The sequence below is a fragment of the Homo sapiens genome, chromosome 11 (genome assembly GCF_000001405.40).
Source record: "Homo sapiens chromosome 11, GRCh38.p14 Primary Assembly".
Classification (NCBI taxonomy): Eukaryota; Metazoa; Chordata; class Mammalia; order Primates; family Hominidae; genus Homo; species Homo sapiens.
Window position 1 is genome coordinate 104,771,184 of NC_000011.10, and position 12,245 is coordinate 104,783,428.

Here is a 12,245-nt window from a genome sequence, read left to right on the forward strand (position 1 = left end):
CCCATCTAATTTTTGTACTTTTAGTAGAGACAGGGTTTCACCATGTTGCCCAGGCTTGTCTCGAACACCTGATCTCAGGTGATTCACCCACCTCAGACTCCCAAAGTGCTGGGATTATAGGCGTGAGCCACCACACCTGACCTTCTTTATTTGACATCATATGTGATTCCAGCTCAAATTAAATTGAGAATTAAAACAGATAGTGAATGTAGCCCTTTATATAGAAAAACAAAGTTCAAGTCTCTATAGTTGTAGCTAACAAGCAGTTGAAATGTCAGTCTGCTTTTTCCTGAGCAATTATGATGTAACTAAGGCACTAAATCTGCCGTATTTGTGGTGGTAGAGGCAGGAGAAGTCATTGAAATGCATCTTTAGTTATGAATCTCATTGTAAAAAGTTGTTTTTGTTCTTCCTTAGACTCTGTCTTTAAATATGTAAAAAGGCTGTAGTTAGCCCATGTTGTTGTCATGGGATCCATAATTTAGCTAGAGCTCACCAGTAGTAAGGGACACAATATGGCTCAGGAAGTACTAGTAGAAACAGAACAGGACTCATGGAGGAGAAAAAGCTGTATGGGTGGACTAGGACATCGGCCTGCACCAGGAGAAGAAAGACAACACCAACTGCAGGGTTTGGGCAAGACAAATAATGTCCTTGTGCAGTTTGCTAGTCCATGTATAAGATTTTCTGTAAGAACTGAGCAAATAGAGGAATCCATGACACTTACTGCTTGCCTATTTCCTGGGTGACGTTTGTTGTGTACATGCTGCCTGTTGCTTTTCAAAGCAAACCAGAAAAGTGAGGATGTTTGCCAAGAACAAAGGTGTGATGGACTTCTTTGGAAATGCTTCCTGGAGAAGAGTTATTTACTGTTAGTGGTTACGTCCATTCCTCCCCTATTGCAGTCTGTTCTGTTGAGGGTTGGCAGGATACAAACAAAGTCTATGATTCTTTCCTCTCTTCAATGTTCCATTCCTGGAGAGGAAACTACTAAGGAGAGAAAGGGGCAGAGTTGGCCACTCGAATAAAGCTGAATGAATACCAAAAATGTTATCCTAATGACCATAATCATTTTTCATTTTAACATAACAGAGACTTTGAATCCACGGGAAATTATCCTAGGTAACAACGTGACTACTAACATAACATTTACAATAGTGTTCAACGATTTATTACCATATGCTTGGATATTATTGGCATGGCATTTATAACAAAAAAAACTTTCTCTGCTTACTCTTTTGTGTTCAGGGACAATGCTATTACATTCAAATATTTAATTATGTCTGTTTCTCTTAGGCTGAGCTACATCGCGGAAAAATATACTCTAGCAAGAACACTGACTATTCTATTTGCACTGCCTATTCTGCTATGCAGAAGCCATGGGCCTACTGCTGAGTGATATATTTATATCTTAGATAAAATAATAGTTGCTTTCTCACAAGCAACACAATTACTTTGCTTACATAGGGAGATGGAGAAAAACAAAACTAACAAAGAATGCTTCGTGGAGATTAAAAGACTGTTTAAACCAAAGAGCATGTGCATTTCAATTTATATGGTGAACGAGTAGGAAAGAATTATTACTGGGAGAAAAACAACACATCTGATTATGGAGCACACTTGAAAATATGAACAATACTCTGTTCATGAGCATAAGTATGAAGTGCTGGGGTTAGCATCCGGCTGATCAAAAGCATCTTGCAAAGCGAAGAGGAAGTGCTCATTATTCAATGACTTCCAGGCTTTCACACAACTGTAGTAACTTTGTTTACAAAGTCATCTGATTTTAATTGAAAAAGATCTTGAGATGCTCAGAGATGTATAGAGATGACAGATTAATGGCCTTCTCACACAGCCTAATATTCCTGCAAATCCTTAAAACTGCATCTTGTGAAACTAATATGAGAAAAGGGTATGGCTTTCCACATTCCTGCCAGCTTAGGTTATCCATCTGACTGGCGTATGACTTGCAGCTGGATTATGACTAAAGCAGGGACAGATGACTAATATGAGCTGCTGCTTCTAGAAATCAGTAGAACGCGTCCTAATTCAATCACGCCCACTCAGTATTATCTCTCCCTCTAAACTTCTCTTTGTATGCACTTTTAAATATCTGTTATTTTTTCATTTGTCTCATATGGGAGGTTAATGAGAATTACATAAACTGATAATGACTTTTCTTTAAGTATTAAACACACTATTAATAGGCTAGAGAAATGACACAAATCATGCAAATAAGTAAATAAAAAGCTGAATCTGCAGAATAAAATGTTAGCAATAGATCACATTCAAGTTGCTGGTAATTAAATATTGTGAGCCTAAAATAAGTATCTCTGTTGCCAAAGAACATGCTTTCAATATAATTTTCCTTTTATCTTCTGAAGACCATATTATTTTATTATACTTTCAACATTCTTTATTTTTGGTGGTATATAAATAATCTATAAAGAATCTGCATTAATATGGTTTATACCATCAAAATTATCACTTACAACTGACAGAATTTTAAACCCCAAATGAAACTATTTAGAAACCTAACCATAAATATATAATACCCTGTCATTTTTTTCAGCCTTATTTTTCTTTCTTTCTTTCTTTTTTTTTTTTCTTTTTTTTTTAGACAGAGTCTTGCTCTGTCACAAAGGCTGGAGTGCAATGGCACAATCATGGCTCACTGCAACCTCTGCCTCCCGGGTTCAAGTGATTCCCCTGCCTCAGCCTCCCAAGTAGCTGGCATTACTGGTGCCCGCCACCACACCTGGCTAATTTTTGTATTTTTAGTAGAGACAGAATGTCACCATATTGGTCAGGCTGGTCTTGAACTCCAGACCTCAGGTCTGGAGACCTGCCTCGGCCTCCCAAAGTTCTGGGATTACCAGCATGAGCCATCGCACCCGGCCTCAGCCTTACTTTCCTTAAGTAATAATCAGTGAAATCACTCATTCAAGATGCCAATATATATGAATACATTTTTCTGCACACACACACATACATACACACACACACACACACACACACACACACACACACACAAGTGAATTAGAAGATGGCTCAATATAAAATGTCCCAAACAAATCAGAGAATGTTAAGAGATGGATGAAACAGAATAGAGTGTAAGACACAAATAGAACATGCTTACAATGTTTAATCTATGCACTGTTGCAGTCCCAGAAAGAAAAAAAAAATAAGCCAATGGATCAAAATTAATATTTGAAGAGACATAACACAAAAATTTTGTAGGCCCGGGTGCAGGGGCTCACGCCTGTAATCCCAACACTTTGGGAAGCCGAGGCAAGTGGATCACCTGAAGTCAGGAGTTCAAGACAAGCCTGGCCAATATGGTGAAACCCCATCTCTACTAAAAGTACAAAATATTAGCTGAGCATGGTGGCGGGCATCTGTAATCCCAGCTACTCAGGAGGCTGAGGTAGGAGAATAACTTAATAACTTCAACCTGGGGGGCAGAGGTTGCAGTGAGCAGAGATCCTACTATTGCACTTCAGCCAGGGCGACAGAGGAGACTCTGTCTCAGAAAAAAAAAAAAAAAAAAAAAGAAAAGAAAAATTAATGATTAACATATATATTTGAGAAGTGAAACAAATTGCCAACAAAATAAATACAAGTGAATCTACACCAAGTCACATCATAGTAATACTGCTGAAAAACAAAGACAAAGAAAAAAGACCAAAATCAGCCTGAGGGAAAGCAAAAACACAGTACATTGAAAGGGCAAGAGTGAGAGTGACATATGACTTCTCCATAAAAACTCTCAAAGCAAGAAGGCAAACGAATGGGATCTTAACAGAGCTGAAGGAAAACAACTACTAGAAAAGTATTGTTATACTTAGTGAATATATTCTTTAAAAATAAGGTAAAATAAAGATTTTTCAGACAAAGGCTGAGAAAGTTTATCTCAGCAGACTTCCACTATAAGAAAAAGATAAAAGGGAAGATTTCATCAGGCAGGAGAAAATTTACCCAAATAATTAAAATATAACTAAAAATTTTAAAATTTAGTTAACTTTAAATTGTATGGATGATTAAAATGAAGGATGATTACCAAACAACATAGGTAAAAGGTGATAAATGCAGTATAAAGTTTAGATTATTGCACTAGTATCAGAATTAGAGTGTAATGGGTTAAAGATGAATATTATAGTCTCTAGTGTAACAATTAAAGAGTAGTTAAAATATGGATTTCTAACAAGTTACTTGTAGAACTTGATAAGAATGAATGATAAAATTATCCAATCTATTCAAAAGAAAGCAGCAGTCAAAGAAGATAGAACAGCATACAGATGGACCAAATACAAAAAGTTATATAGTGGTAGATTAAAACCACCCATATCAGTAATTATATTAACTATAAATGGACTAAACTCTCCAAGAAAAAGATTAAATTATTGCATTAGATTTAATGAAAAAGTGCTGCTACTTGAAAGAGACAAACATTAAATAAAAGGATGTACAAGGTTTGAAAGAAGGATGGAAATTGATATACCATGTAATTACAAACTAAAAGCTGGGGGGGCCATATTAACCTCAGGAACACTAGATTTTAAAAAAGAAATATTGCTGAAGATAATTAAACATAAGACATACCATAATGGTAATGGGAATGATCCAATAGTAATGTATCAGAATTCTATGTATTTTTCAATAACAGTTTTCAAAATTATAAAGTGAAAAGTGAGATAAATAAGGAGAAATACATAATTATCATGACAGACTTTAAATTACTAATAACTCCAATCTTCAAGGCCAAAGTCTTCAAATCTTTCTCTGCTCCATCTTTATATTACTTTTTCCTCTATGTATGAGCAATCTCCCTCCTTTTTATAGGGATTCATTTAAGACCCAACCAGGTAATCCTGGATAATCTCTCCATCTCAAGATCTTTAAATTAATCGCATCTGCAAAAATCCCTTTTATTATTATTATTGCCATATAAAGTAACATTCACGGGTTCCAAGGATTAGGGTGTGAACATCTTTTGAAGAGCCATTTTTAAGCCTACTACAAGTCCAGTCAGATATCCTTCCCTATCTGATGGACACTTGCTGAGATGACAAATCCAGCTTCCTATAAAGTGCTGATTCTCTTCCTGTAAAGTACTGATACTTGTCATTATGTCCTAGGTCTGATCTTCAACATAGTCAATGCTGTAGCCATAGGAAATGAGTTTCTCTTTAAGCACTGCTAATTGTACCTTGAGTCAGTATTTGTCTGTTTTGGGGCTTTCATTTTCCTTCTTCAGTGCATCAGTTACATCCAACAATAACTAACAATATGACAATACTTATAATTACAACATCCACCTTCTCTGTCCAGTATAGGAGGTATTGCGTATAACAATTTATTTCCTTCCACCCAGAAACATTCCAATTTGTGATGGATGAAAATTTTGGTAATCTCACTGCTCTAGCTCCAGCATAGCACAGTGCATAAACAGTTCACTTACCGCCAATGATGAGGTCATGATACCATCTGACCATAGAGGAATTCAACTCCAGATTCCTGTTTCTCCAGATTCCTTCCTATGATGAACCAGTTTAGGTTATTCACACACATTTACCTGAGGTTGGGTTCTTCAGAAACATAACCTGAAGTGAAGATTCATGTGCAAGTTCCCAGGAAAAGCCAGTACAGAAATGAGGGGAGTGGAAGAAGCAAAGCAAGGGGGCAATTTCAGGCAAAGTTCTGGGGAAGGTAGCTTTAATTTTATCCTAGAAGGAGACTCAGGAGTATAAGTTACTCCTTGGAGTTCATTATGGCCCAAGGCAAGGGAGCTGGTTTTCGTTATGCTGCACCCATCTGTCAGTTGCTATGGGGAGAGGTAGCTCTCAAGCACTAGTAGCTTTTTATGCTTTGGGAAAGGGGCTCTAGAAACCTGAGAAAAATTCTTCAGAGATGAGTTCTAAAAGCAAGCACACTCAAGTCTAAGAAGGGAACATAGGAATAGTAAAAAAGGATCTGAGGGTACCTGAGCTTAGCACTGAGAGTGACTGGAACATATAACAGGTGATGAGCTGTATGCTACCACTGCCTCCCCCAACATCTCCCCTACCAACGTTCCTCTGCCCTGATCTGTTATCATTCTCTCCCTCACTCCCTCACTGTGCTTCACACATATTTTCCTTCTCTTTGCTCTTTAAATGCACTGTCCTCAAGTATGTTTGATTTTGCTATTCCCTCTGCTTACAATGCTTGTCCCATAGATATCAACATGATACCTCATCTGCTTGAAAACCCCTAGAAGAGAAGCTCTTGCTGACCACCATTTCTCAAATTATATACCATCCACCACCACCATGACTACTTTTTACTTTAGTTAACCTTTTCCTGCTCATTTGTCTTCAGGATTCTTATTGCTTAGTATATATGGAAACTATATTACCTGGCTTCAAATTTCAGAATCATTACTCTGCAAATTACTGTGTAAATTACTGAACTTGTCTTTTTTTCACTATCTTTATCTGTAAAATAGAAGTAACAATACTACCCATTCAAGTCTCTTTGAGTATTAGATGAGGGAATACAGGCAATGTTCTTAGAAAAATTCCCACCCGCAATTTAAATGTCCAATAGGCATAAGCTAATGTTTCCTTACTTCCTTTCTCACATGACAGGATACTAAGTCCATTAGGAGAGAATCTTTCATCTGTTTTAACTGCTATGCTCTCAGTGAGTATACCATTGCCTCATATGTAGTGATATTCAGTAATTATTTTTAATTAATTTATTTATAAATGCACAGGTTGTTTATCCTTCTAATTCTATTAAAGTTTCTTTCTGCTTTCTTCAAATCAGTAGTGATGACTATGGATGAATTAGTTTCTGAAACAACTGAAATCCACAGATCAGCACTGTCATGAGAACTCAATTTTCTGAAAGAATGCACTGTGCCTGCACTTTGCCACCTACATGGATGACAGGGATAAAATTAAATCAAATGCAACAAGATAGTATATGAGTATCTGCACATGGCAATTACTTGTTCTTTTGGGCTATTGAACACAATGATTATTTTGGCAACATGTTTTATACCTTCATACTCTTTCCTTGTGATAACTTGTTTCAGTCTCCATGTTTCAACAATTGACATTAGTACTTCACTGGAGTGAATGAATGAGTGACTCTAACATGTCCTTCCTTCTGCCACCATCTCACAGCCACTAACTGGGTAATTTGATTCAGGAGAAGATAATTCTGTCACTTTAATTTCTATCAAAAAATCATAGTGCTGGCAGAAGTTCCACCCATAAGTATAGTTATAAAACCTGGAGCACAAATAGCTAAAAGTATATTGTTAAGTACTTGTTTTTCTAAATTACCCTTAGAAATCTGTGTCACAACAATATTTGATTCCCAATAATATATTGGCCCTAGTGTACATAGGATTCTTTCTTCTCTCCCTTCTATTGATAACCAGTTTTAGATATTTCTCTTCTACTTATCATACTAAAAAAAATCTAGAGCTACACAAAAGTATATATGTCTATTAAAAGCAAAACACACACACACACACACACAGCAGAATAAGAAGACAATTAAAAAAAAGTGTCCCATAAGTCATCAGCCTGCAGCCCCACCTTTATTCTTTTGCTTGCTCTAAACATTTGGACAAAAAGGGTATGATCTAATGTTAATATACTGAGTGGGGAAAACCCGCAAGTCCTCCCTGCTTAGATTCTTCTTGGTGTCTCTGAGCATGCATTCTTTTCTTCTGGGTGTGGGACAGGACCTCTCTGGAATGGGGACTTATGACCTATAGTCAAAGAGTTAGATCAGGTAATTTCTTTATGGCCAGTTTTTACAGAGAAAGGTAGAGGAAAAATTAGAATAATATTTTTAGGTTTCATGATGGGCTTGGGGCAAAAGAGGTGCTGGTTTCAATGACCCACATTGGGGAGGAGGGATCTTAGCTTCTAGGGATAACTTCAGTGGGGGAACAGGACTGAGAAATAGGAGGACAGGAGAAGGTCAGAGGAAAACTTGTTGCATCTAGAACTGCTGCAGACGACTTCATTTTAGGATATTGTTTTCTGAGTCCAACACAGCTAATGGAGCAATATGTAAACAAATGTATAAATTTTTTGTAAGTTTAATTTTTTTTCAGAATTAAAAGTTAAAAATGTGTATTGTTATTTAAGTGAGATTGAAATTGTTAAAAATAACATTAAATTTACTATTTTATTCATAGACAAAAAATTATATGGAAACTGGATTTTTTAATACTGTTCTTAAATTACTTTCTACACACCCTAATGAAGACAAATAAGAGTATCAGAATACCGTGTGATATCATTTGAATATTTTACCCATCCAAATCTCATATTGAATTGTAATCTCCAATGTTGAAGGTGGGGTCTGGTGGGAGGTTTTTGGGTTATGGGGGCAGATCCCTTATGGCTTGGTGCTGTACTGGTGTTAGTGAGTGAGTTTTGTAAAAGCTGGTTGTTGTAAAGTGTGGCACTTCTCCCCGTCACTCTCACTCTTGCTCCTGTTCTTGCCATTTTAAGTGCCTGCTTCCACTTTTCCCTCTGCCATGAGTAAAAGCTTCCTGAGACCCCCCCCCCGCAAAGAAGCTGAGCAGATGTGGGCATCATGCTTACTGTAAAGCCTGAAGAACCATGAGCCAATTAAACTCTTTTTTTTTTTTTAATAAATTGCCCAGTCTGAAGTATTTCTTCATAGCAATCCAAAAATAGATTAACACAGTGTTATAAAGTTAGAAAAATAGGCTTTCATCTAGGGAAACAATTTGTCAACCAAGCAACATTTTCTTATTTGGGGCTATTCATGATATAGGCATAAGAATTGCAAACATTGCTCTTGAATTTTTTTTTTTTTTTTGAGATGGAGTCTCACTCTGTCACCCAGGCTGGAGTGCAACGGTGCATTCTCGGCTCAGTGCAACCTCCACCTCCTGGGTACAAGAGATTCTCCTGCCTCAGCCTCCCGAGTAGCTGGGGTTACAGGCACCTGCCACCATGCCCAGCTAATTTTTTGTGTTTTTAGTAGAGATGGAGTTTCACTATGTTGGTCAGGCTGGTCTAGAACTCCTGACCTCAGGTGATCTACCCTCTTCAGCCTCCCAAAGTGCTGGGATTGCAGGCATGAGCCACTGCACCAGGCCTGAATTTTTTAAATATTAGATTACTCTAGAAATTTGATTTTTAAATATTGATTAGTGAGCACAAATATTTAGTATTACAAGAAAAAGTGGTATGACAAACGTATTGAATTTAATTGTGAATAACAAAAGAATCAAACTCTGTAATATATTTGAAGGGATTTATTCTTAGCCATATATGATTGAGTAAGGCCTGAGGTACAGTCTCAAGAGATTCTGAGAACATGTACCCAAAGTGGTTGGATTACAGCTTGATTTTATACATTTTAGGGGGACAGAAGTTACAGGCAAATATCAATCAATATATGTAAGGTGTACATTGGTTTGGTCTGGAAAGGAAGGAAAATTTGAAGCAAGGGATGGAGTTAAAGAGGGTAGACTGGGGACTTCCAGGTTATAGGTAGATTCAAAAATTTCCTGAAGGCAATTGGTTGAAAGGGAAAGCTTTGCCTGAAGAGTTGAAGTCAACAGAAATAAATGCTTGTAGTTAAGATAAAGGGTGTTGTGGAAGCCAAGGTTCTTATTATGTAGATGAAGTCTCCAAGTAGCAGACTTCAGAGAATAAATAGAAAATGTCTCATCACATCCTAAAATGTGTCAGTCTCTTAGTTAACTTTCTTTTGGATCAGGAAAAGACCTAGAAAGGGAAGAGGGTTCTCTACAGAATATAGATGTCCCCACAAGAGACAACTTTGCAGAGCTGTTTCAAAATATGTTAAAAAATATATTCTGGGGCAAAATACTTGGATTTCTTTCGGGTCCCACTATGTGTCATGGGATCTTACACTAGAGTCAGGTTGGAATTTTGTATCTTATTGCTGCAAACAGTCTGTTTTGTCAGTCTTAAGATCTCTGTTTTAATGTTAATGCTGGTCATCCATACCTGAATTCCAGAGAGAGAAGGGTAAAATGAGGGATGTCTGACCTGCTCTTTCCATCATGGCTTGACCTAGTTTTTCAGATTTACTTTGCAATGCTCTTGGCCAAGAGAGGGATCCATTCAGTTGGTTGGGAGCTTTAATGTTATTTTTGGCTTACAGAGTTAAATTTTCTTCATTTTGAACAAAATGAAAATATTTTATACTTTTTTTGAGGCAACTTTAAAATTGTTCATTAAGTTCTAGTTAGTAATTTTGTAAAACTCGAACTCAACTTGGCTGGTAAAATATTCCCATTAAATTATTTCTTGGAATAAGACTATTTTGTTTCTTCAGTAAGTTGACATCAGCCAAAGCATTAATTAGTCACTAATAAAAGCACCTAAGTGGTTGGTCCATTTAAGTTCTCACTTGGACCTGTACACACTGTGGTGCTCTCACTGCTTTTATAAGTATGAAAGGAAATTAAATTTTGGGACCCCAAACTCATTTAGCCAAAGGGAAAAGTCAAGCTGGGAACTGGGTCACGCAAACCTGCCTCCCCCTTTTGGTTCCTAAATAAGATGGCTACAAGATGAAAGGCTATATGCCTCCCCCATATTTTGCCCATGAGGAAATTCCTGGTGAGCTGTTAAAACTTCACCATAGCAATGCAAATTGATCGCTTATCTTCACAGGTGCAGCCACTTCAGTCCACCAGACACAAATGCATATCTGATTATTCCTGTACTGCATTTTGTCTGTGTTTTCATATGTAAAAGGCAGATTCCCCACATTGTTCCTCTGCCCGCTTTTGCTTATGTGAAAACTGTGTGCTTCCCACCCTTTCCGCTTTAAATTTGGAGCCCTCAAATCATCTTTGGAGAAGGGCATAGACCTGTCTCCCAGGGTGTGTCCTTAACTTTGGCAAATAAATCTCCTAAAATGATTGAGACTTGTCTCATCATTTTCTTCAATTGACATAAGTGAGTGGATTATACATTCCATACTTATATATCACAGGCTGTTAAGAGTCAGAATATGCACCCCAGACAGAGGTGTTTCTTACTTACTTTACTTTCTTCAAAAATGTAAAACATTCCTTTATAGACCCTTTCAGACCTGAAATTTTAGCATAATGAAGAGGAATCTAAGATCTAGACAGATGCATTGACTATTAAGAGTCTATTAAAAGTCAAGTTGGAGACTAGTGGAAGCTTGGCAAAAGCAGTGCTCCTCACATTTTAATATGTATATGAGTCACCTGGAGGACTTGTTAAATGAAGTCAATTAAAAATGCAGACTCTGTTTCAGTCCCTCAGAGAAGAGCCTGAGATTCTGCATTTCTATTGAGTGCCCAGGTGATGCTGTGCTGCTGGTCCCTGGTGCATACTCTTGTAGGACAGTCTTCTGGATGACCTTGGACCAATCCAGCTCTACCCTATTCTTGCAGGTAGTCCTTCAGAATAACTCTAGAATGTTCTGGGAATTAAACATGCTGAGATAGGGAAGGGCTGACTAGAAAAACTCTGACTTGTTTCCAGCCCCGCTTAGAAGCAGGATGTCCTTCAACATTTTAACCCAGCATGTCTTATTGCTCCCAGGGTATAAAACCCAAAGAGTTGAGCTGCTTTTCAGAGTCCCTGAGCTGTGGTGCAGTTGGGACATGCACAGACCAGATTTTATCTGCCTCAGGCAGCTTTCCTCAACCTAGCTCATCTTAAATCCCAGTCTTCTGTCATATACTGCTGCCTATCTGTAAGTAATAATTCCACTTCATATAACTTGTCCGTGTGTGTGTATGTGTGTGTATGGGGGGTATTCTGTCTCACCAGACTCAGACAGCTTGGTAACCAATGTACAGTGAACCTGCTTCACAGCTCGGATTAACAAAATATTATAAAGAAGAACATGATTTTCTGAGCTTCCTTTGGGCACCATACATTTTGAAAAATCTCAGCACCAAATGTTAAAATACTTTCCCTCTTGTTTCCCTCTTGTCCCAAAACCATCACTATATACTGGAATAGGAGTGAGCTGTTCACTTAAAGCCTGTTATCAATAGGTTTGTCAATGGCCTATTAGGTGGCCTGGTATAAAAGTACAGCCCAAGAAGATGTCTGTATCAAATGGGGACTGCCTCACCCAATGATATTCACTTCAGGTTTTGTGGAGATTTTGTGTCTGTGCGTGCTTCAGTGGGGAAAGACAGGAAGAGAGCGAGAGAGAATCAGCAGAGCAGAGGAGAGAGA

General features: G+C 37.6%; 1 annotated feature.

Annotated features, from left to right (window-relative positions):
• Positions 10,043-10,806: an enhancer, noted in NCBI's record as "OCT4-NANOG hESC enhancer chr11:104651953-104652716 (GRCh37/hg19 assembly coordinates)". NCBI's record gives its function as "activates a minimal SCP1, AML or CMV promoter by ChIP-STARR-seq in primed H9 embryonic stem cells {active_cell/tissue: H9 hESC(primed)}" and the evidence as "EXISTENCE:reporter gene assay evidence [ECO:0000049][PMID:30033119]".